The 26403-nt window shown below is 49.3% G+C and overlaps 3 annotated features.

Annotated features, from left to right (window-relative positions):
- Positions 2374–3222: an enhancer, noted in NCBI's record as "NANOG-H3K4me1 hESC enhancer chr5:134820245-134821093 (GRCh37/hg19 assembly coordinates)". NCBI's record gives its function as "activates a minimal SCP1, AML or CMV promoter by ChIP-STARR-seq in naive H9 embryonic stem cells {active_cell/tissue: H9 hESC(naive)}" and the evidence as "EXISTENCE:reporter gene assay evidence [ECO:0000049][PMID:30033119]".
- Positions 21212–21261: an enhancer, noted in NCBI's record as "active region_23175". NCBI's record gives its function as "activates an Ori minimal core promoter by ATAC-STARR-seq in GM12878 lymphoblastoid cells {active_cell/tissue: GM12878}" and the evidence as "EXISTENCE:reporter gene assay evidence [ECO:0000049][PMID:35858748]".
- Positions 21462–21601: a silencer, noted in NCBI's record as "silent region_16377". NCBI's record gives its function as "represses an Ori minimal core promoter by ATAC-STARR-seq in GM12878 lymphoblastoid cells {active_cell/tissue: GM12878}" and the evidence as "EXISTENCE:reporter gene assay evidence [ECO:0000049][PMID:35858748]".

Here is a 26403-nt window from a genome sequence, read left to right as displayed (position 1 = left end):
CCCTTCGTGGGCCTCAATATCCCCACAATGACAGTGAGATTCCTGGAAAGCTCAGTGGGTACTGAGTGGAGGGGAGAAGTGGGCAGGAATACTCCAACCCTGACCTAGGTGATGCCAGTTGAATATCCCTGGACCTGAGGCTGCCTGTGGTGGGCACTGTCATCTGCTTCATTTCACAGTTGGGATCTGAACAGAGGGTGTGTCTAAGGTCCCCCAGGGTGAGATAGCTCTGCCATCCCCAGCCCTTGCACACAACAACTGGGCAGCTCTGACCCATTTGTCCTCTCTGTCCTGCCAGTGCCACCTTTACTGGGGTCCCCAGGCTGCTCCAGGGGAGAAGTGGGGCAAGGCCCCCAATTATAGAAGTGCCCAGGAGGGAAGTATCTCTCTCCATGAGCTTTGTTCCTAGGCTGACCCTTCTCCTGCCAATGAGGCAGTGGTTTCTTCTCTCTTCCCATTTGCCTCTCAGGGCACTGCCATCTGTCCCTGATTGCCACATCCATCCCTGCTGGGAGAGAGAACAGCGTGGGCCCCACCCCCACCCACTCAGTCTCAAAAGCCCCCATCAGGGAGGCTGCTGAGCCCACACATTTGGATCCACTTTCTGTGGTTTGTGCCCTGGGCCTTGGCAGGTCCTAAAACCCTCTCTGTGTCCTGGTCAGGTATGCAGCCAGGAGCCAAGCCATGAGAGCAACAGCTACTTCTGCCTTTAAAATCTTCCATTTTCACCTCTCTCCAGTTCTTTCTCCCAGGGACATGGGTGTTCCTTCAGCCCCTCCACCCTTCTTCACGGATGAAGGTAGGCACAGCCTTCTGCCCTTATGGAGCACCGTGCCCAAGGCCTAAGGTCAGGGTAAGCATAGGGCTCTGAATCCAAGGTTTGGCTCAAACCCAAGCCCACTTCCAAGCCTCAGTGGGCTCCTCTGTAGAATGGGGACAGCAGCAGTTCCCCTCCATGGGACTGTTGATTGGATCAAAGGCCACAAAAAGTAACAGGTAGTACTCACAGTGGAGTAATCACTTTGAACATCGTATTCTTTCAATGCCTGGCACCCTCTTCTTGTTATTTGTAGTGTGCTTATCAGTTGTTGAGCACTTACGCTGCTGGCGCTCTCTGTGTGTTTTCACGTGCCTGCTCACGGACGCTCCATTATTACCCCGGTGTGTAGATCTGATGGGGGGAACCACAGAGAAGTTAAGTTGCCTGTCCAAGCTTCACAGCCAGAAATGGAGCCTGGGATTAACCCACATTCCTCCTGACTCCAGAGCCATGCTAGGAAGCCCCAGCAGGTCCTCAGTGCCCCCTTGTCAACATCGGGTGTGCCTTCTCCAGACCAGCTGCCTTCCTTTGACCCACCAAGATGGGACTCCTCCACAGTCCTGGAAGAGCCTGTGGCCTTGACCCAAGTGCCGTGGAGAGACAGTTTGAGCACTCCTCTGAATGGGAACAGAGAGCCCCTGCAGGGGGAAAAGTTCAGCCTGTGAAATTTCTTTCCCTTCAATTTCCTTCTCCACCGGGTCTTGCTCACACAATGCCCATCAAAGGTGTAGCCTTGGTGGTGCTTTTTGCAGCTGTCCACAACACTTGGTGTGTCCATTCTGCATGAAGCGCACACCTCTGGGTTGCCACCATCCTGACTGGTGCACTATAGCACTGCCCCTGGCTGAGAGGCAGGCAGGTAGGATAATATCCCACCCATTCCCACTGGATGGAACTCTACTGTGTGCTCAGGACAAATCAGAACCCTCGAGCTTGGATCAGGCTTGATGAATCAGGCCCCTCTGAATCAAAGCCATTTGCTCACCATAGCCTCTTGGGAAGGGGAAAGGAAGGTGGGCAGATGGGAAGGGGTTAAGTCTCAGCTTGGGGTTCACCCTCCTCATTGCTCCATCACAGACCAGCAGGGTCTGCTCTGATCACCAAGATCCTCAGGAAAACAATGTTACAACCTCCCTTAGGAATTCTGATCAAGTCCAACCATCCTTTTCCCTTTTATCTGTCTTGTCTAGACTAATTTCCTCTCATTGCCTGAGAGCAGAAATGTATTAAGGGCTCTAATTGACCAAGATAATGAAGTATCTGCCACTGATTGTCAATCAGTCAAGTCCAAACTCCTTATTCGGAAGATGGGGAAACAGACCCTAGGAGGCAGTGACTTGCATAAAATCTGGGGTATGGACCTTCTATACCGGGAGGATGGTGTTTCCTTAGTACAGTCTTGCACTGCACAACAACGTTTTTCAGTCAACAATAGACCACACTTATATGACAGTGGTCCCATAAGATTATAAGGGAGCACATATAGAAATCTGACATATGGCACTTGATACTGACATTGCAGATCAAGTAGGAGAGATGACTGATTATCAGTAATGGTGCTTGGACATTTGGTTTTCCATATAAAAATATATAAATAAAAGCATATATACCATCTAGGCTTGTGTAAGTACACTCTATGATTCTGCACAACCACAAACTTACTGAACAATTCATTTCTTGAACATATCCCTGTCATTCAGTCGTATGACTGTAAGTAGATGAACATTCCCTGAAGGCCTAACTCTGCTCTAGGTTTCAGGAAAATACCTGTGAGATACTTGTCTCAGGGCTGATGGGTGACCTTCTGGGGTGAAGGCTTAACCCCTCTTAACCTTTGATCTCTGGCCATCGGTCCCCAACTTCTTCTCCAGGCTAAGTGAGTGCAAATCCGGCATCAGTCTGCCCAGAGGCCACCTGGGGGGGACATAGAGGCCAAGAGGCCCAGCAGGGACACAGCCTCTTTAAGCCAGATCAGTCCTGCCTGAGTGAAGGGAAGCCCAGAGGGAGAGAGGTGGTCACCCTGGGTAGGACAATTGCAGGAGGGACGAGCTGGGCCAGGCCTGGGCTCCACAAGGGCCCCTCTGTTCACATTCCCCGGATCAAAACCCACAGCTGGGATGTGCAAAATGCTCCTGGGAATGGTGAGAGGAGCAGCTGGCTTGAAAACCCCACATCCCAGTCTGGAGCAGGCTCCTCCAGGAGAGGCGTAAGGCCAGCCACGGTGCAGGCTCCAGAGAGCTGGGGACTTTTAGCCTACTTGAAAGAGCAAACAGCTTTCAAGTGCTCTCTGGAGCACCTATTTCAATGCTAATGAAAGACTCTTCTCTACGCATTAAAGCACATCTCCAAAAGACTCCCATGTAAGGGCTGCGTGTCCTTGTGCCTCTGTGTGTGTGTGTGTCTCAGAGTCAAATAGGGCCCAGGAAACAGAGTGCATGGGCTTCTGAGCTTCCCAGTACACCCTGCCCACATTCATCTGAATTAGAAGTGACAGAGAAGGACTTGTTGCCAACATCTCACCCATTTAGAAGTCACTCCAAGAAGGTCGGGCGCAGTGGCTCACGCCTATAATCCCAGCACTTTGGGAGGCCAAGGCAGGTGGATCACGAGGTCAGGAGATCGAGACCATCCTGGCTAACACGGTGAAACCCCATCTCTACTAAAAATACGAAAAAACAAAATTAGCCAGGCGTGGTGGTTGGCACCTGTAGTCCCAGCTACTCAGGAGGCCGAGGCAGGAGAATGGCGTAAACCCGGGAGGCGGAGGTTGTAATGAGCCGAGATCGTGCCACTGCCCTCCAGCCTGGCCGACAGAGCGAGACTCCATCTCAAAACAAAAAAAAAATTGCACAGAAGATCATCAAGCTGTGTGGGGACCTAAGTGAATCAAAGTGTGAGTTCCCAAGTCAGACAATCCTAGTTCCTGTCTAGACTCCACATTACTAGGCAAGATATTGGCCCTTGCTTTGAGACCCTATTTCCTCATTTGGGGCTCACCCCCCTCATTACTGCATCACAGACCAGCAGGGTCAGCTCTGATCACCAAATGGTAAGGATTATGAAGGCCAGGGGTTTTGGAAAGCATTTGTCACAGGCCCAGCACATAGCAAGGAGTGATCTCTGCTTGGTTGCTCTTCCCCTGGGCCCTGGCTTAGTGCTCAGCACACACAGGATAGATGAGTTTGGGATGAAGATTTCGGAAAGGAGGAGGCTGGCTGTTGGTGGTCAATATGGTGGTCGAAGGTGGTCAGGCATGCTCCATTGATTTTCTTTTTTGGAAAAAATAAACTGGAGTGTTTTGTTTTGTTTTGTTTTGTTTTGTTTTGTTTTGTTTTGTCTAAACAGGGGCCCAATAAGGGGCAACTTCCTAGAAAGCCTGACAGTTCATGGCCAATTCCTCAATGTCCTCTGAACCAGGCAGGGCTCTGCCACCTACCACGGACATCCCTGGTCAGTGACTTGGCCTGTCCATGCCTCAGTCTCCTCCTCTGTAAAATGGGGATAATAATAATGCCCTCCTCATAGAGTTCTTAAACACATTAAGGAAGCTTAGCCCAGTGCCAGGTACCAGAGTAAAGGCTCAATAAATGTCATCTTCCACCATCATGCACATCCTCCCATGATGATATGCATCCCACCTGCTGAGAATCCTGGTGGGAAGTGGCAACCCAGATGCAGACCCCAAATGAGGCAGCAGCCTAGAGAAGCAGGACCTCTCAGGCATTTTCTGAGGTCAAAAATGACTTCCTAGAAAAGGAGAAATGGAAAAACATTTTTCTAGTGGCTTTGTCCCCCACCCCATCTCACCTCTACATACAACTCCCTGCTCCTAGGGCTGCGGAGAGATCAGGGTGGACTAGGGGGTGAGGAAACAGCTGTAAGCAAGCTGGGGCTCACCTGTGCCCCGTTCCCACCCCCTCACCTAAGGGGCCACGCAGGGACAGGATGCTCACACAGGGTGAGGAGAGGGCTTGTTGCCTTGGGGAAGAGAAAGCCCTCAAGAGCAGGCCACTGATCTCAAAGGGAAATAATGGGATTTTCTGGGATTCACATTGATCCCCAAAGGAGAAAAGCTTCTGTTTGCCTTTTTTAAGCCGCCAAACAAGGAACTAAAGCCTCTTTGAGCCCTGAGTCGGGGCTGTCCTTTCTGAAGTCCTTATTATCCCTGGGGCACTAGGAGACCAGGCCCCAGTGCCTGGCCCTCCATGCAGGGAGATTTCCATTGGGCAGAGGCCTGCCTGGTTTCCTAGCTACTGTTATATACCCCACCGGACCGCAGGCACTGGCACCTTGACCCACAGTTCTTGCCTGAGGCCTGGCTCGGGCCCAGCTCCTGTCCTTGATCTATCCGGGATGCGTTTCCACATCCAGGAACAAACACGTGAAGCAATAGCTCTCTAAGCCACCAGATGCCACATCCCAGCACCCCCCTCCCCTCCCACAGCTGAGCAGAGATGATGACAGTGATGATAGTAACAGCCACATTGACCTAGGCAGTCTTCCCCTCCACCCGGCCTTGCCTCTGAAGATCTCAGTATCTGATCAGACAACCAGTTCTCACCCTGAAGAGCTGATCACAATTGCAGGCCCCAAGTGACTCCAGTGAACTCTTACCGCTCGAACTGTTCTTATAGCCACACTCCAGATGTGGTCATCATCCACCTCCTCAAGCTTCACACACATTCACACACTCTCACACCCCACAAGCACACACACACTCATGTCCACACACACCCCGCAAGCACTCACACACTCACACCCACAAACACACACTCATGTCCACACACTCACACCCCACAAGCACCCACACTCATGTCCACACACTCATACCCTACAAACGCAAACACACACTCATGTCCACACACACCCCACAAGCACTCACACACTCACACCCACAAGCACACACACTCATGTCCACACAAGCATTCACACACACTCATGCCTGCACACTCATACCCCACAAACACACACTCATGTCCACACACTTACACCCCACAAGCACACACACTCATGTCCACATTCACCACACAAGCACACACACGCGTGTCTGCACACTCACACCCCACAAGCACACACACCCTCATGCCTACACACTCATGCACTCTCACACACCCCCACAAACACACACACACCCCAGACTCAGTTTCCAGCCTTCTCTCTGTCCAATTCTTCCACCTTCACTCCCTCAGACATTCCTCCACCCCAAATGCCCTCTCCACCCTTAGTCAACTTCCTCGAACTTGACAAAATGACCTGATCCTCCCCACACTCCAGCCTGTTTCTCCTCTCCACCCTCCAGCCTGTTCCTCCTCCACTCCCGTCGCCAGCCCAGCAGCCTGGGAGGCCTCCTCCTCTCCTCTCACTTCCTCTCTCCACTCATCTCCTTTTGCAGATTTGACTTCCTAACGTGCCAGTGGCTCCCCACTGCACTTGGAGATAAAGCCCAAGTTCCTTTTTGAGGTTCATGAGCCACATGGTTTATGACTTGCCCATCCTTCCAGCATGATCTCTTGACAGCATCCCCTGGACATGGCTGTGTCTACACACACACGTATGCACACACATGCACACACAGAGCGGCATGCTGCTGGACTGCACTCCTGTGCTCTGCTCACATGCCACCCTCTGTCTGGAATAGCCCTTCCCCTCCGCCCATTCCTCTTCTTTTTTTTTTTTTTTTTTTTTTGAGACGGAGTCTCGCTCTGTCGCCCAGGCTGGAGTGCAGTGGCACCATCTCGGCTCACTGCAAGCTCCGCCTCCCGGGTTCACGCCATTCTCCTGCCTCAGCCTCCTGAGTAGCTGGGACTACAGGCGCCCGCCACCTCGCCTGGCTAATTTTTTGTATTTTTAGTAGAGACGGGGTTTCACCATGTTAGCCAGGGTGGTCTCGATCTCCTGACCTCGTGATCCGCCTGCCTTGGCCTCCCAAAGTGCTGGGATTACAGGCGTGAGCCACCGCACCCGGCCCTCTCACCCCTCTTTTCCATTACTTCTGCCTTCCTGGGGTTGAACTTCCAATAAAATGTTAGTACTTAAGTTTTTGTGCTCTATTTTTTAAGGATACCGACGGGTATCATGTTTGGGGACCAGTAAGAAAGTGCTATGGTTGGAAAGTGGGAGAGTGATGTAATATAAAGTTGATGTAAAGTCAGATGGTGTTGGGTCCAGGTGCTGACTGCCAGGGCAGGAGTCAGTGCTTCTCCTTGAAGCCACTTGGGCACCGTGAGAAATGTGAAAGCCTGCACTGGGTAGATATCTGCATTGTTCCTGCCACAAGCTGCCAAGAAGCTACCCCACTACAAAGCCAAGAGGAGAACACCAAGTAAGACTGCAGTAATTCTCACATCAAACCAAAGGTTGGAACTATTGAGAGGCAACACAGTTGCTATCATTGTTGCCGCTGCTGTTTTTACATTGCAAAGTGATTACACACCTAGACCCGGGAGCTGACCCATCTTTGCTTCCTAGCTAGGTGACCCTGGGCAAGCTGCTTTATCTCCCTGTGCCTCCATTTTCTCATGTGTAAATTGGGGATAATAATGGTATCCACCTCATAGGGTTGTTGTGAGGACTAATGCACAGTGCCTGGCACATGGTATGTGTTTGATAAATGTTAGCCATTATTATCGTTACCATGAAACATCTCAAGAGAAACACCCATGCACACCTCTTAAATCACACACTAGCTAAGCAATCTGCTGGCTCTGAACTCCGGTGGTCAGGGTGGGCCAGTCTCATCCTAAATGCCAACCAAAAATGCCACCTGGCAAGGGAGCTGCTATTTCAATTGCCTATTAATGCACTAAGAGACACAAGATTTAAGCAAACTTTAACAAAGGCACAGTGTCAAATCTAGGATCCTTGAGAACCCATGCATGAGGTTCTTCCAGAGCTTATCCTAGACACCCAGACAACTGTGCACCTCATGGGGCCATACAGACCTCACTGGCTTCCATGATGCAGAAGTGTTGACAGAGAATATTGGATACGCAAGAAATGACCATTCCCTGAAGCCCACCATTTCACTTCTAAGAAAATATCCGACAAGTGTGTCCTTACATGTATGCTAGGTTGAATGTATAAGAGACTCAAGCTGAGCAATTAGACTCTATTTCAGGATGTTTGCTAGAACTAATGAGAAATCCACACTCTCTTTTTGCTGGGGTTGTTTAGCTCATAGGATGTAAGTCTGGAATGGATGATACTATCTTGCCTTCATATGAGCACAAAACCAGAACAGAGGGAGCAAAGCTAAGAGACAGACAGACACACACACAGAGAGAGAGAGAGAAGCCATCATAGGAGCACTAGGATTCTGCTGTTCTTGAAGTCAAAGCCAGGTTCATGACTGGCACAATTCAGCAAGGGCATTCCAGGTGGAGGCACATCAGAACAAAGGGCTGGGACTGGCAGGGGAGACACAGTGCAAATGGGGATAGGAAACAGCCTGGCCTGGCTAGGATGAAGGGAGGGTGGAAGAGGGGAGCCCCAGAAGGTGCTCTTGGAGCCACTCCTGGGGGTCCTTGAGCATCAAGTTGAGGAGCTGATTGTTCCTCTTTAGACAACGGTGTGTGAGCAGAAGAGTCACAGGATAAAGGTGGCTCTTTATCATCAAGATGGAAGGGAGGGGGTGCAAAAACCAGGTCAATGCCTTGGAGGCCCATTGAGCAGGTGTTTGCCTGGCGGCTGGTGGGCAGAATGAGGCAGGTGCAGAAGGTTTTGGCCCTGGCCCGCCCTCTGTCCGCAAAGGCAGCTCCAAGGCCTGATTCTGGCCCAGCTAGCTCCCCTGCTGGTGGCTTGTACCACTCCCCCCACCACCACCAGCCACCCCCACAAAGCTAATCAGCTTAGGATGGCAGCAAATGAAGCCTCCAGAACTGCAGAGCCCTTACTCTCTGCAGCAGCAAATTAACACTTCAATTAAAAGCCAGCCAAGCCAGGCCTGACATCCACACTCTCACTGGGTGAGGATTTAATTAAGGATGGTGGGGAGGTAGAGGGGAGGAGGCGACCTGGGAACGCCCCACCTTGAGCTGACCACCATGGTCAACCTATTGTTGTTTCCAGCTCAGACTATGGGCTTGAGACCACCGAGCACATTGGAAGCAGCAGCGTTTCTCAAAGTGCAACAGAATCCCCTAAAGGGGTGGAGAGGACTGTCACAAATGCCTTTTTCTGTGCCTCACCCCGCCACCACTTATCCCAACTTTCTGAGATAGCCCAGGAGCCTGCTCTTTTATGCATTTCAAGGTTGGGTTCTGATGCCTGTGGGTGTTGAGAACGGCTGTTTCTGTAGATTGTGAAAGCAATTTCGCAGATCAAGATGATCAGCATTTTAAACAATTGAATGAAATGAAATGGAATATCAGAATAGAAAATATCAGAAGACATCGCATAGAGTGAGAGGAAGTATTAGTTAATGCATCTTTTGCTTTCATTTTGTGTGTGTGTGTGTGTGTTTATATTGAGCTGCTATGAATTTTTTTAACTGTAGATTTCAGTAAAAAGAAGTAAAAAAAACCCAAAAAACAAAAAAACCCACATTCACAACATTTCAGCAACAAGGAGGTGTTAAAGCCCTCACAGGCACCCAATTCAATGAAATCTTAACCATAGCTGTTCCTTCAAGCCTATTGATCCTAAAACATCATGATCGCTGGAAGCCTGCCCTTTCCCAGAAGTCATCTGCAGACAAGTAGGAAGGTGCAGCCATCTGCTCTTCTGGGCGTTGACAGGCCCATTCCAGGCCCACACTGGGGCAGGTGTCAGAAAGGGGCCCCCAAAAGAGACTGCAGCCAGGGCTTGTATTGATGGCAAGAGCAGAGCCCCAAAGCCAGCCCCACAACCAGACTCAGAGTGTGGGGCAACGCAAAGGTGCCAGCAGCACTACCCTACCTTCTAGAGTTCATGGCCTGCATGGGAGAAAGGGGAGGAGGTGCAGGAAAGGGTGTGAGCCTGCAGTGAGGCAGCAGCCAGGGAGGAGTGGACAGAGGGCAGGCCTGGGCAGTGCAGGAGGGGGGCACCCCAGGCCAGGCAGACGGCCTTCCCGAGTGCCATATTCCCCAACCCTTGCAAGGCCAAGCCGTCCCTGCCCTCTCTGCCTTGGAAATCCCTTTGAGCTAGAGAGGGCAGATGGGGGTCAGAGAGTGATGAGCCCTGGCCCCAGCCCTGTTTGAAATCTCGGGCCAGGGGCGAGGCCTTCGAGGTGGGGTCGCCACCTCCAGGGCAGCGGCGTCCTCCAGACTAGGCCAGCTCGTTGCTAGGGCCCCTCTTCGGAGGCATCAGGTTATAGGGCCGCGTGGAGCAGCCCATCTGCCGGCTAACTTCTCACTTTCCCCCCTAAGGCTGCCTGTGACCCGGCTCCCCGGGCTCTGGCCCGTGTGTAAAAGTGGCGGGGGGCCTTTATTCCCACCGAGCCCCTTCTCAGCAGCTCGGCAGCCAAACTGCTCTTGGATTACATTTTGATGAGTTTTCAATTTAGGCTTAGCAGACAAGGGAAGGGAGGGTACGGGGGCAAGGCGGTGGGGGGGTGGGCAGGGGGCGGGCAGGGGAGCCAGCGGAATAAATGCAACAGATGGGTCCAATTGTACTGCCTAGGCAAATGAAGGAAGACATCTGTAGCTCCCGAATACTGGTGGTCTGAAACGCAATTAGCCCTCTGTGAAAGGGGCCCCTCACAGCCCCCTCGGCCAATCCCCTCCGAGGCACTGCTCACGTTACAATGGCCTTGACCACAATCCATTGAGTAGAAAAAGGAAAAAAGAAAAGAAAGAAAGAAAGATTAATCCAGGAGTTGCTGGGCGGTGGGGCTGCAAGTAGAGTTGCTATGCTGGAAAGGAAAGGTTACTTACGTTTCTGCTTTTCTCTTTTTTTGCTTCTCAAGATATCTACTGTAGGTCCTTATTCAAGAGAAGGAGAGAGGGGAGGGTCTCACTTTTTCGCTCGGTGAGGTTATATGGACCCACATCTCCAGTGGTTATTAATCTGCAAATTGCTCAGAAACCTCAATTTTCTACTGACTTGTTTGGGAAATAATGAATGAAGACACAAGTCCCTGCGGTTGAGACTGGGCCCCACCCCCTGCCCCCTGAGGAGTGAGAAAGCTGTTATGTGATAAGACCCCTTCTGCAAGCGATAATTATGATGGCTGCTGTGAGTTCCAGGGAGTTGTCTTGCACAGTTGGAAACGTGAGTTCTGCCCGATTCCTCTGAGTTCCTGCCTCCAAATTTCCTTCTTGTCCCGAGTGCTGGGGAGCCCCACTGAAGAAATGGGAAAGGATTTGGGCCTCAGTTATTCGTGCATATTTATGATTGATGGATCCTGGTAGAAAACGGGGTGGGGAGCTCAGTACAATAGTAGGGGCTACCCCTGGAGGGGGTAAGACAAGGGTACCTTTAAATTACCCTCCTGGCTTTGTTCCCCTCCGGGCTGGTCCTTGGCCATCTGACGGGGAGATGGCCGCTCCCCCAAAGAAGGTGAAAGAAAGCCCACGTTCTGGCGACCCCTTCTTGGGTTTCTCTGCCCGTGCCCTTCAGAGCCATCAGACGGCCCCTGAAGTGCCTGGGCTGGTGTCACAGGGTCCCCCCCAGGACATCCACAGCAGCTCAGTGTCTCCCTCACAAAGAATCTTTACAGACTAAGAACCATGGGGCACACTCCTGTTGTTTGTTTTGTTTTATTGTGGTAAAATATACATAATGTAAAATTTATTATTTTAACAATTTATTTTTTTTGAAATGGAGTTTTCGCTCTTGTTGCCCAGGCTGGAGTACAATGGCACAACCGCGGCTCACTGCAACCTCTGCCTCCCAGGTTCAAGCGATTCTCCTGCCTCAGCTTCCCAAGTAACTGGGATTACAGGCATGCACCACAACGCCTGACTAATTTTGTATTTTTAGTAGAGAAGCGGTTTCACCATGTTGGTCAGGCTGGTCTTGAACTCCTGACTTCAGGTGATCCACCTGCCTCAGCCTCCCAAAGTGCTGGGATCACAGACGTGAGCCACCACGCCCAGCTATTTTAACCATTTTTGGGTGTACACTTTAGAGACATTTAAGTACATTCACATTGTTGTGTAACCATCACCACCATCGATCTCCAGAACTTTCTCATCTTCCCAAACTGAAATTCTGCAACCATTAAACACCAACTCCTTATTGCTGGCTCTCCCCAGCCCCTGGCACCCACCATTCTGTTTTCAGTCTCCATGGATTTGACTACTCTAGTGACCTCGTATTAAGTGGAATCATAAAGTATGTGTCCTTCCGTGACTGACCAGCATATTTTCCAGGTTCATCCATGTTGTGATGTGTGTCAGAGTTTCATTCCTTTTTAAGGCTGCATAAAATTCGATTGTATGGATATACCACATTTTGTCTATCCATTCACCTGTAGATGGACACGTGGGTTGCTCCCACCTTTTGGCTATTGTGAAAACAACTGCTGTGAACACGGGTATACAGATACCTATTCCAGTCCCTGCTTTCAATTCTTTTGAGACTATTCTCAGAAATAGAACTACTATATCATATGGTAATTGTGTATTTAATTTTATTGTTTTTATTTTGTTTTTTTCTTTGTACCTCAAGTCTGGAAGCTCCACACGAAGGAGATATCAATTCAGTCCCCAGCAGATGTCATTTAAAGACCATATTGATGATGATTTCTAATAACCTTAGAAAATGGATGCTTGGATTCATTTTGAATTCAGGTCCTAGTTGTTTTGGTTTGCTTGAATTTAGAATTATGCATGATACAAGCCCTGGGTTCTCTGTAACACTGGACTGGTTGCTGAAGCTGGTTTGGGGTTCACATTCCACTTGGCTCAGGTCTCCATCAAAACCTGGCTGCTCTGGTCTTTTTCTTTCCCCAGGTTGGCTAAAGTTGCTTTAAAAATGATCCAGCTCTTTTTGGTTTTTGTTGTTATCATTGTTTTCACAATTATTCTCATATGTGTTTAGACAAAATAGTGGACACTTGCACTTAATTTTTCAAGCTTCATTAAAAAAGTGCTCTAAGATTCAGGGATTTTTCTAATTAGTCAGCACCTGACGCCATTTGGTTAATCAAGGGAGCCAGAATTGAAATGAATTGTCTGCGTTCAGACTCTGCACTGGCATAGAGATGGTTTGAAAATATTAGCAACTGCCCCTGCCCCCAATTTTCTGGGCTGACCCTGATTTCAAGTGCTGTATTCTGTTGTGTTATTTCCATGAACTCTCTGCTCTGCACAGTCCAGAAATCACAGCATTTTATCATCCAAACTACCTCTCCTGTCCTGGAAATAAAACAAAAATATTGTGTCTGGCCACAGGCCCCATGGTTTGGAAAAAAAAGTTACTTGTACCCCAAGAGTGCGGAAATCACCGGAGCCTGAGGGAGGTAAGTGAATTGCTCCTGCTCAGGAATCTTCCTCAAGTCTGAGTCAGTTCCTCCAACAAAGGGCATAAAAATCCTGAAAGGCATTCCGCCTCAAGGCTTCTTGGAGCAGGTTGACCAACCAATGCTGTTGTCTCTTCCCTGGGCCTACCACTGTACCCTCTTTCAAGGGCCAACTACACCTACGGAATTATGTGGGCCTTCACCCTGCTCCCAACCAGGCTACGTTCTCTATTAGAAATGCCGCCCCCAACCCAACCCACATCAGACGTCAGGATCCAGTGGGACTGGCTGATAAGACCAGCATTCCGGAGGGAAAGGGCAGGGCTGCAGAGCTAACGGAGCACACCTGCGGCCATGCACGTGTGGCCATTTCTGCAGGAGCCTCCAGGGCTGATTCTCCAGTATCCTTCACAGAAGCTGCAGCCCAGTCTTTGCCCACAGCTGCAACTGGCTAGGAGAAAAGGGAGCTCTGACCTGCCAAATAAAGACCTGCCCTCCCAGTGAATGGGCTGCACCCCTGGTCCTCATCATGGGAGTCCTTTCCCCGCCTATCTGGGCCAAGGCTCCACCTGCAGGTGCAGACTCTCCAGGTACACTTTGGCCAGCACCAGCATGTAGAACTGTGCCTCATGTATCTGGATGAAAGGAGCCCTATGTGCTTACTTACTGCACATCCTGCACTATAGGGCCAGGAAGCACTTTGAGATGCAGCCCTATTTGAGCCTTCAACCACCCAGAGAGACCAGGAGTCAGCACCCTTACCCCATTCATCTTTGCTCACACTTACTGAGTCCCTCCCATGGTCCAGACTCAGTTCTAGGCACTGAGGACAGAGAAAGGAACAAGAGACAAGGAACCTGCCCTCAAAGAGCTTACATACCAGAGAGGCAGCTAGTCGGTAGCTAATATGACTGATATGGCTGTCAGAAAGTGATAGGTGCTATGAAAAACTCCAAAGTCAGGAGCAGTAGAGACCACTGGTGCTCAGCCTCTACCAGTTCTCTCTTTCAGGACACTGACCACAGAGAGGCTTGTATTCTCCCCCACCTGCAGTTAGGCAGAGCCATTAGGCTAGGAGTGGCCAATGAGCTGTGAGTCCAAGTGATCCCTGCCACTTCTAGGCTGCAGCACTAATTGCTAGTACAAGACTCTCTAGCTGTCCTCCTCTGTCACAGTGACCCACAATGTTCCAGAGAGCATATTGTCATTCAGCCTAGTTCCCTGAGGGAAAAAGTGGAAGACAACCCTCCATCAATCCATGGTGGACATATAGCATAAGCAAGATAATACTCTTTGTGCATTCAGCCACTGGGGTTTGGGGTTATGACTGCCACACAGCCTAGCCCATTCTCTCTTTTTTTTTTTTTTTTTTTTTTTGAGTCAGGGTCTCCAGCCTATCACTCTAGGATGGAGTGCAGCGGCACAATCAGGACTCACTGCAGCTTCGACCTCCCAGGCTCAAACAATCCTCCTACCTCAGCCCCACTAGTAGGTGGGACTAAAGGCACATGCCACCACACCCAGCTAATTTTTTAAAAAAATTTTTTAGTAGAGAAGAGGTCTCACTATGTTGCCCAGGCTGGTCTCAAACTCCTGAGTTCAAGTGATCCTCTTGCCTCGGCCTCCCAAAGCACTGGGATTACAGGCATGTGCCACCACACCTGGCCCCTTAGCCTATTCTTATTAAAACACTGTCAGGGGCTAGAGTGGCAGTTTTCAAACAATTTGATCTCTTAAAAATTACTGAGGATCCTGGAGGGCATTTGTTTATGTGAATTGCATCTATTGATATTTGCTTTTTTAGAAATCAAAAGAAAAATATTTATTTTAAAATAACACCATTGTATGTTAACATAAAATTTTTATGAAGAACATAGTTTGCAAAACAAAAAATTAGTGAGAAGAGTGACATTGCTTTATGTTCTTGCAAATCTCTTGAAATGGCTTAATAGAACACAGCAGAGAGATTCATATTATCTGCTTCTGCATTCAAGCTGTTCTGCTATGTTGTTGAAGTATGTGAAGATCCGATCTCACATAGATATGTAGCTGGAAAAACAAGGACCATATAAACCTCCTTAGAGGATCCTAGGGACCCTCTCCCCAGGGGTCCTTGTAACACACTTTAGAACCCCTGGACTGAAGAGGACTGAGAGAACTGGCAGCTAGAGTGGGGTTGCCTAGCCCAGAGGCAAAGGTGGACTGAAAACGGTGGGTCAAGAGATGACGGCCTGCAAGATTGAAACGACTGACCTTGTTGAATTGGGACCTGGCGTTTTGGAGGCTCTGATAGGCAAGAAGGCCAGAGCAGGCAAGGAAACTGTGAAGCCAATGACTGGCCAGTTTCTACAGCTCTCGCCAGGTAGAGCAGAATGTGGGGCTATCTGGGCTTCTAACACCAGCCTCACCCTCTGCCCACTTAGACATTTAGGACAGTCTTCACCTTTAAACATCTCGCCACCATTCTCGGGTAAATTATTTGTCAGTTGCTAAGGTCTCATTGGAAGGTGGACCTCCTCAGATATTCCCCAAAGCATCTGCAAAGGATGAGTCAGGGAGAATTTCAGCCTTATTCTCGGTTCCTGGGATGTGCCCCAGAGACTCCAGGACATCAAAGACTCAGCTCTGCTGACCTTAGGACCAGTAGTGAGGAACTGGGACATGTGCACAGGGGGCGGGGCAGGGGCCCAATACATGACCAGGAGCATGGCACAAATCCCCTGATCCAAAAGAAGGACAAAGGAATGAGCCCTCCTTCCTTGTAAATAATTATAAGTGAAAGTAGACATTAGTAATAAGAATCCATCTCCTTTATTAAGTTCTAACAAAATGCCCAGTATTTCCTCCCAACCTCCTTCAGAGGCAGATATTATTATCTTCACAGCAATTTAAAAGCCCACACAAGAGTGTGTACAGGTTGTGGATTTTCTTTTTTGGTAACTTGTTATTTTAATAATTTTGAACTTTCAAAAAAGTTTCAAGAGTAGTAAAAAGAACTCCCAAATACCAAGATTCACCAGTTGTTTGCATTTCCCAGCATGTGCTTTCTCATTCTATCTGTCTCCCGATAGACAGACAGATGCCCACTTTTAAAAAACTGAACTATGTGACAGCAAGTTGCAGACAGCATGACACTCAGCCCTAATACTCCAGTGTGTATTTCCCGAGAAAAGGACTTTTTTGTTTGTTTGTTTGTTTGTTTGTTTGTTTTTGAGATGGAGTCTCGCTCTGTCGCCAGGCTGGAGTGCGGTGGCGTGATCTCTGCTCACTGCAACCTCCGCCTCCTGGGTTCAAGCGATTCTCCTGCCTCAGCTTCCCGAGTAGCTGGGACTACAGGCGCCAGCCACCATGCCTGGCTAATTTTTGTATTTTTAGTAGAGACAGGGTTTCGCCATGTTGGCCAGGATTGTCTCGATCACTTGACCTTGTGATCTGCCCACCTTGGCCTCCCAAAGTGCTGGGATCACAGGCGTGAGCCACCGCGCCTGACCAGGACATTCTTTAACATAACTTTAGCACTATGATCAAAATCAGGCAATTCAACAGTGACACAATGCTATCATCTCACACCTGGTCCATAGTCAAGATTATCCCACTATCCTGGTCATGTCCTTCACAGCTGCTTCTCCCAGGCCAGAATCTCATTCAGAATCCTGCATTGCTGGGTTCTGCACACCTATCTCCTATCTCCCACTCTGTTGTTTTGGCAATGAAATTATTTTCTGTCATCTCTTTTCTCTCCTTTCACTTGGATTAGTTCTTCAGCCTTTCTTTGTTTTTCATGACCTTGACATTTTGGGGGAAGTACAGGCCAATTATTTTGTATAATGTCCCTCAAAATGACTTTTCTGTTCTTTCCCCATAATGACATTCAGGTTATATGTTTTGGCAGGAATACCAAAGAAGTGATGTGTATCCTATCAGAAGGTGCTTGATGCTGAATTGTTCCACGTTGGGGATGTTAATTTTGATCATTTAGTTAAGGTAGAGTCTGCCGGGACTCTCCACTGTGAAGCTACTATTTTTCCTTTGTAACTAATAAGTGAAAAGGTATTTTGAGACCATAAATATCCTGATCCTCATCAAACTTTCACCCATTAGTTTGAGCATTTATTGATGATTTTGCCTGAATCAAGAATTGGTTTTGCAAATATTATTATTTAATAACTTAATGTTTGCAAAATGGTGATTTTTGAATTCCATCATTCCTTCTGCATTTGTTAGTTGGCATTTTACTATACAGAAATGCTTTTCCTTCTATTCATGGATTAATTGTTAATTTATTTATGCCAGTTTAGACTCATAGATTCTTCTTTTATTCGACCGGGTTACAATACTATCATTTATTTGATGTTTAAATTGTTCCAGATGCAGCTTGTGGGAGCCTCTTCAAGCTGGTTTTCTTGTCCTTTCATGCCTCCATCCTTTTTTGCATACTCCCTTATTCTCTGACGTAACAAGACGCTGCAGGCTCATCTTGTACTTTTCCTGTCTCAGCCCTGAAATCAGACAGCCTACAAGGAACCCTGGTTCTTTTTATTCGTCAATGGTATTTAGAAACTGAAATCTGAGTAAGTGTGCTCATTGCTACTGTGGTTTTATTGTTTCTAGACCATTTCATTATACAGAACTAGGAAATATATGTATTATATATGTACATATACGTGTGTGTATATATATATATATCTATCTCTGTGTGTGTGTGCATATCTCCAATCTTCCAGCTCCAATTCAACGCCATAGAATTATTGCAAACCTTCCTCAGTTCACTATTTGTGACTTTAATACATTCATTCATTTGCTCAATCTTACAATACACAGTATATGGCTATACCCATAACACTGTGAAGGCACTCTTTCTATGTAGAGTTCAATATTGGTGTGCAGCTTTCTTTGCCTTTACACTGGGGGTATGTAGTCAAAAGTATTGGGTCCAACAGTTACTTGGCTTTCCTTTTCTCCCTTTAGTATAGTTATTCTGTTCCTTGGAAGTACAAATTAGGTTTATTTGCTTCTGTTTGTATTTCATTTTGATGTTTTCCCCCTCCTAGTTGATTTAAAGGAGGCTGTACCCTTAATCACTAACTGTTGTTATAATTCTTGTTCAGCTGTGGGTCCAGGTAGTACAGGACTCACACACTGCCCACACATTGCCCATACTACCTGCACCCACATCTGAACAAGAATTATAACAACAGTTAGTGGCTAAGGGTTGTTGTAGAATTTTTTCCTAATCCTACAATATCACATATGTTCATCCTGATTTACAATTCTGGGAGACCTTCCTAACCATCCATTCCAAATGTAGCTGCCACAGACCCTCTTCTCTTCTTCCAAACTGGAGTCCTACTTCCTCACTTCCTGGCCTCTGCCCACATGTTCCTCGACTCAGACATCTCCACTATGTCCTCTTAGGTGCCAAACCCTTCAAGGCCCACCCAAGTTCCACCTCCTCCAAGATGCTTTTGAGACCCTTAGGAGAACCAGACCCCAGCTCAACATGGTTAGGATCATAGGCTGGGCCCAAGGAGGTGGGGGGAGCCCCTGTGAATGAAATACCAAGTGGCCCTGGGTCATGTCCAGGCCCTAAGGTGCAACCCAAGTGGCTCCTATGACTGTGGATGTTCTGCTGTGCTTTGGCTTCTTTGAGGGGAGACTCAGAGGCAGGAAGTTCCTGTGAAACTCATACACTTAATCAAGTTTTCCTACTATGTGAATGGAGCCTGCGGGAAAGTGGACCCACTGGCAGAGCCCTGATATTAGGAACTGGAGCAAACCAGTTCAGTTCCTCTGTGGAAAGTCCATCCCGGAGGGTGGGAGGCAGTGGGCTCTGGGATGTAGGGAATCTGAAGGCTAGGTTTGGGGCAGAATCTCCCTCCCTGCCCACACATACACACCCCCAAGTCCAGATACTTGTGCTCTCAGCAGCCCTGGGCAGCCCCCCATCAGGACACATGCCCTCTGCAGAACCCCATATGGAGAACACAACCCAGAAGAGGGGAACTTAGAGTTAGATGTCAAATAGCATCACCCCATAGTTCCACCAGTAGCCCCATCACAGAGGTCCTTCTTGTTTCTTAGCCCCCACCTTGGTTCCCAGGACTTTGGTCAAGCCTTGGAGGATTCCCACTCTCCCTTTGCCTGGGCTATGAAGCATGCAGTCCTCGTGGTGCTGACCGCCATCAGGGGCTCATGAGGGGTAGGCGCAGTTTGAGTTTTTAATATCTTGCCACTGGGTGCTCCTCCCTGGTCCACTGGCAGCCTCCATCCACTCCAGGTCCCTCCAGACACACACCCTCCTTGGATCCATGGCCCACAGGATGCATCTCTAATGCCCCATCAGCCCACCATGGCCTGTCAGTGTTGCAGAGACCAGCAGATGCTGCTGAGCCCTGAAGGATATAGTTTGGCATTCCAGGCAGTCTGTTTCCACTTGGGGACAGTGAGTGAAATTTAGCTCTTATTACTCAGACACTCCTCCCTCTGCATGCACATCTAATGAGGCAGTGTGTACCCCTGGACACACAAGCTGTTAAACTGCAGACAGGCTGCAGCTTTCCAGTGAGAGTGGATTTCAAGGGTGTATTTTTATAAGGAAGAAATGACATAAGCGTCCCCCTTTGTTATTTAAATTTCATGAAAATCAACTATAGATGGTGTGTAATTGAGCACAGAATAGGGCCCAGAATATATTCTGAAATAACGGGAGCCCTTTTATCAGGTTATATATGAAAAAAAATAGTCAAAGAAAAGCAAAATCTCCATGCAAAATAATGAACTATTTGAAGGAAGAAAAAAAAGAAAAAGGGGATGAAGTGCGCCTAGGAGAGTATTCAAGCAGCCGGTGTTTTTTTCTTGAGAAGTTTCTTGGGAGCGGAGTTTAGAGATGGGGTGGGTTGCAGTCATCATTGGTTGACCTGGGCTCAGAATCAGGCCGTACACATTACTTCAACCAGAAACCAGGCCAACGACATTGCAGGAGTCTTCCAAGGTGGATGACCCTATGTGAGGCCCAGAAGCACTGCAGGTCCTAAGAGGAGGCCTCCTACTGACCCTCCTCCCCACCCTACCCTCTGCACTTTCTGTCCTGTGGTCCCCGGAGGCCATGAGCCTGGGTAGCCAGGCACTCTGTTGGGAAATGAGAGCCGATCTGGGGGCTTGAGTCGGGTGGAGCCTGGTGGCGCCTGTGCTCAGGAGCTGGCCTGACTCCGGGCGGGTGTTCGCTTGCTGCTGTGGAAGGCTTCTTTGCACTGATATGTTCACAAGCGGCCCACAACAGGCCCCCTCTCTATCACCAGCAAAGGAGGGGCCTGACCCTGGTCTTCTCCACGCACCCTACTCCATGTGCTCACAGCTCAGCTTCTCCTGATGGGTCACTCATCTCATGCCTGAGATTTGCCTTCTCTGAACCTCCATTATCCCATATGCCTAACGAGGACGAGAACATCTCTGGAAAGGGTTGCTGTGAGGACAGCGTAGGAGACAGCGCTCAGCGTTCAGGCTCAGTAAGGTGCCAGCCACCTGATCGGTACTGAATGCAGACAGCACCTCCCTCTTTCTGGCAACCCCACCCCCCTCCACTCATTCCCTGCCGCCCCTGCTTCCTCTGGGGGCTCCCTGCAGCTGGAGCTCCCTGCAGAGGCCCGGGCCAGCCCTGACGCCTGGCTGCGGTGGACGCCCTCAGAGCTAGGGCACCCATCTTCCAGAGAAGGTGCCCAGGCTGAGCTTCGTCGTTAAACTCCGCAGAGCCTAGAGGTGCAACCGGAAAGAACAAGTCCCCTGGAAACGACCCCGCTGCTGCCATCGCCACTGCTGGTGCTGCTGCTACGGCAGGCCCTGGCTCTCCATGCAGTCTCCAGAATGCCCTCATCTACTCCCATTCATTTCTTGAGCACCACCTGTGTGCTTGGTCGTGCCTGGTCGTCTGAGGCACAGCCCTGCGGCAACGCTAACTCTAGCCTTCTTCCCAGGAGGCGCAAGTTTAGAAATCTTCCAGAAGGCGCAGTTTAGAAATCAAGTGCTCTCCGGTCCTAATTGCGGTCACACTGAGTTGCAGTGGCCCTGCGATGGCCTTGTATATCCTCTCCCAGGAAGGCTGAACACCCAGCACACAGGACAGACCCTGGTACTCAGCAGGTGCTGCATAAGCGTCTGTTAAATGCAGGACTGGAGCAGTGCAGAAACAGCTCTTACTCTGAAATCGCAGGCGCTTCCCGGGGAGTCCCGCACCGGCGCAGACGGCGGATCCAGGGCGTGGAGGGGGCCGGGGAACGGGTTCAGAGTGCCATCTACCGGCAGTTCGTCGGACTGGCAGGAAAGGCCTTGGCCCTGCGGCGGGATGGAGCCCCCCAGACTGCGCTGTTTGCTACGCTGCTCCGGATCCATTCACTCTCCAACCGCTCTGCAATCACTTCGCAATCACCAGTAAACTTTGCCGCCTACTTGAGAAGAGAAAGGTAGGGCCCAGGAGTAATTAGCAAGTCCTGAATTGTGCTGAGAATATCCAGGAAGGGGGCTTGTCTTTCACCAGCTTCTCCTGCGGAAGGGATTTCCCCCAAATTCTCTTTATTGGGAGGCTTTGAGCAGGAGCCAATGACTGCAGTTCCTGCAGAACCGGGGCAAGGGCCTGCTCCCTGGGGGACCGGCAGGGGCTGGGGTTAGTCAGACCCAGTGGACATACCAACTCTGCCACTTACCAGCTGTGTGACTGAGAGCAAGTTACTCTCTGCGCCTTAGCTTCCCCATCTGTAAAACAAGCCCCATGATAGTACCCCATGGTAGGATAGTTATGAGGATGTAAGCCAGATGTAACCCAGATGCCAGACACCCACTGTTCCCGAGGGTCTGGCTGCCCTTTAGTGTCCGATAGCAGAAGAGACCCAGCCTTCATCCTCCTTGGTCATCGTATGGCCAACTTTCATCCAGCTCCCCTCCCTCTGTGCCCTGGGAATCAACAGGTTGAGCTTGCCCACCCTGGCGATACCAGCTTGTGGCTGGTATTCCCTCATCTCACCTCCTGACTCAAGCTCCCCACTCTCCTTATCTCGGGTGATCTCTCGACATCTCATAACAAGTTTTCCCAGGCCCCACTGCTCCCCACAATGCTTCGGCTCACACGTGGTCAAGACTGCTGCTACATCTTAAAGCAAAGTAGGACCAGACCTGACTGGGATAATACTAGGAGAGAACAACAGAGCATGATGGAAACCTGCAAACTAGCTCCTGGGTGCGGCTAGGCTCAAAGTCCTGAAACCACAGCCCACAAAGGGGTCAGCATCCCCTCGAAGAGGGACTGCCCCAACCATATGGCCCTCTCCTCCAACAACACACTCCTCCAGCTTTCTGAGACTCTGTAAGGAAACTCGCTTCCTTTCTATTTCTGCAATTCCTCACATTTCTGCCCTGAGTGAAGACAACCTTTGCTGTGATTCTACAAAACAAAACTCTCAGTATTTTTCTTTTGCTGCCTGGAACCTCTGCATCCCAGAGCTGCAGCTTGGCTTTTTCTATGTAAAATCAAATGCCCTGTTAATTTTTTTCCCTTTTTCAAAACACAAAGAATAGGCTGCTCTCAAAGATGCCTCCTACAGAAACTAAAAGTCTAATGGGCCAGGCTCATGTGTGTGATCCCAGAACTTTGGGAGGCTGAGGCAGGAAGAGGATCACTTGAGGCCAGAAGTTCGAGATCAACCTTGCAACATAGGTTGGTCTCTACAAAAAAAAATAGAAACAAAAACTAGTCAGGTGTGATGATGTGTGCCTGCGGTCTCAGCTACTGAGAAGGCTGAGGTGGAAGGATGGCTTGAGCCCCAGAGGTCAAGGCTACAGTGAGCTGTGATCACGCCACTGCACTCCAGCCTGGGCAACAGAGTGAGACTGTGTCTCAAAAAAATAAAGTAAAATAAAAATAAAATGACAACGGTTGACATTGATTTTCTGATTCCTAGTCCACGATCCTGTGTAAGCTGTGTGCCTGTTTATCCCTTCACCAGTTCCCAACAACACTGTGAGGCAGTCACCATTTTGTCTGCATTTTTTAGAGGAGGAAAATAAGTATACGAAGGTTATGGGGGTCCCCCACATTCACATAGTTAAGTGTCTGTCTCCAGATTCAAACCCAGGCAATCTGGCTTCTTAAAGCTTCACCTTTAGCTTAAAGGTAAAAGCACAGGATCTGAGATTTCAAAAATGCTGGAGTCCCATCTTGGCTAGAACACCCTGTTACAAATGTGGGTGTTGAGTTTTCGCAGCATGGCTGGAGCACGGGAGGCGCCCAGCGAAAGGGGCACCTGGGGCCAGCAAAGCCTGTAGCCAGGCAATAGTGCACCAGAGAGGCAGCCTCCCATTCCACCCCTACCTCTCTAAGGGGTGATCTCTGAGTAAGGGGCATCTGTTAGCCTTGCCCCATCTCAGGCACCATCCTCAGTGGCTCACATCCCACGACAGCCGACATCCTTCAACAGCTCCTTTATTGTCTTGGAATAGAATCCAAACCCTCTACCAGAATCTAAAAGGCCCTGCAAGGACTATCTAACCCCACCTGGTTTCCAGCCATCTCTCTGTTACTGCTCTTCCCTTCGCTTGCAGGCAGTTCCCTGTCTAACCAAGGCTGCTGCTTCAGGGCATTTGCACTCAGGACCTCTCGGCCTGCTGCCTTACTCCCTTCAGCCTCTGATGAACCAGAATCTCCCCAGGGGGGGTTTCTGAATGCACAGTCATCCCCCACCGCAGCTACATGCTCACCATTCCTATTCGTTTCCTCCTTCCTTTCCAGACTGTCTCTAGAATGCAAGCTTCCTGAAGGAAGGCTTGCCAAACGTGATAGGCTTAGTAGTGGCCCCAAAGACACACCCACTTCCTAAACCCTGGAACCTGTGACTGTCACCTCATGTGGCAAAAGATGGGATCAAATTAAGGATCTTGAGATGGGGAGATTTCCCTAGATTATCTGGATTGACCCTAAATACAACGACAGTATCCTCATCACAGGAAGGTGGTGGGAGATTTCACACTCGGAGAAGAAGGCCACATGAAGATGGAGCAGAGAGATTTGCCCCAATAGAGAGACCCTGAGCACTCCAGTCTGTCTGGAACTAACACCAGCCACCCAGGCTATCTGCCCCATGCCCCAACTCACGTGTAGACTTTGGCTCCTTCATGGTGATTTCTGTTATTTGGTTCTGCGGGGGCTCATGTCCTAAGGAAAAAATTACATTTTGGCTAACTAGGGTTTACCACACCTCACAAAAGGATTGCAAACTCAAAGGCTTACAGGAGCCTAGAACATAAAATAAATATATACGAAACAGGACTGGGGGAACTGAGGCAAACTGGGATGGAGCGCCAAGCGTCTGCACCAGCAGACGAGTGCCCTGCAGGAACCCGAGCCCAGGCCAGCCTCATCTCCTGACTTTTCAGCTGAAGCTGCAAAAATTGAGGGTTTTATTTCCAGGCTTCCAATTTTAAAATGTTGACAACTTGGACAAAATGTATACAATACCACACTGTGTGGCCCATAGTAGCTGCTAGTTTCTTCTTTGCGGACAGGGACCCACTGAGGCAGAAGGCACCAAATCCAGGTGGCTCCTAGCTTGATTGGGGTGCCTGTCCTGAACATTAGGACCACTTTCCCTGCAGGATCCATGGGGGAATTCGATTCTCCCAAGTGAAAACATCAGAATTCAGTTGAATTCCGATGCAGCTGCACGTCTGCAACAAACACTTCCAACAAATAATAGAGTTGTGACATTCATCATTCCAACAATGAGAACAAATACCAGAATTGAATAAAAAGTTGTGTCCTTGATTTTCCTGGGTGCTGTTGTTGGAAGGCGGGGGTGGGGGGCACCTCAGCTCCTATCTAAAAAATCATCCAGGCCAAGCAGTTGTCAATTAAAGACTGAGAAAGGGAGGAGGGAAAGGCAGCCCTACTCACATCTCGCAGGGCAGCTCTCCACCTGAGCTGAGGTGGGCAGAGTTAATTCCTCCAAGAGCCTTCAGCCTTGAAGAGGTGACATGGAGGTAGCTCTAGCCCTGCAGGGGGAGCAACTATGCCGAGTCCCTGAGAGCTGCCTGAGGGTGGGGACAGCTGTCCCCACCGAGCGTCGCGTCCTCTGAAAACACACAAGCAGGCAATTTCCTGTGCACAAAAGTTGCCCAACAGTGCCCCCTAGCACTCATAATGACATACCTTCTTAGAGTAGGGCCTGGGAGGTTTTAGAAAGTTATCTGAGAGAAGAGACTAGGGAAAAATCTGGTTCTCCAAGTCATACTTGCCAACAACATTTGGGTGTGTTGGGGTTGGCGAGCAGGAGTGGGTAGGGGATGGGGGGGAAAGGAAGGCAGATTAAGGGTGGCATTTATCAAGCACTGGCCCTAGCATTCGTGCCAGGGTTCCCTGTTTCCAGGAGGACCAGATCATGGCTTACACTGAAGACACATTAAGGCTTGCCAAGGTTGAGCTGAGAGCCCCCAGGCTTGATTTAAAGGTGTTGGAGGCATTCCATGGTCTGTGGCAATCCCATCAGCAGTAGAACTTACCTGCAAATGGCTGAGCCACGATGGCCCTGAGCCTCAGTTAGAACCTCTGCAGCTCTACAAGCCACTTCTTACTGCAGATGGGCCCATAGGAAAGTATGTGCCCATCCCATGCCATGGCCAGCCAATTGCAGGCAGACAGCTAAAGGCCAAACACCAATGACAGGTTCTGAGGTAGGTTCCCAACACGTACACAGCAGACACCCTTCAGGTAAATGGCCAACAAAAAGAAACAGCCAAAGTCACTAAGTGAACCACTGGGTGACAAGTTGCCCAGGCCCAGTTGGTGATTTATGGCTCATGAGGTGATGCAGTCCCAGGGAGCTTCTGGAAAACTACTTGGAGAGAGCTCTGTAGGCAGGATTGCTCATTTTCTCATCACTTTTCCATTTTCATGATATAGATCCCCCCTGGGGCAGAGGGAGGAGGAAAATGCTTTTTATATTATGGTAGTGGCCATGTGGAAAAGACATATTTCCCTCAACATTCGATTCCGAATGAAAACGCACGTTTGTAAAGCATATGTGAAACATGTCATGCACGAAAGGTATGAAATATTTATTGTCATGGCTTGGGTTCGTTTTGTGAAATATCACAGGACAGGGAGAAAACTGTTAAAAGTGAGAAACTGCTGGGGAGAATGGGAGCTGCTGGCCTTAAGGAT

The sequence above is a fragment of the Homo sapiens genome, chromosome 5 (genome assembly GCF_000001405.40).
Source record: "Homo sapiens chromosome 5, GRCh38.p14 Primary Assembly".
NCBI lineage: Eukaryota > Metazoa > Chordata > Mammalia > Primates > Hominidae > Homo > Homo sapiens.
The sequence above is the reverse complement of the archived record's forward strand: the minus strand, read 5'-3'. Positions and strand labels throughout refer to the sequence as shown.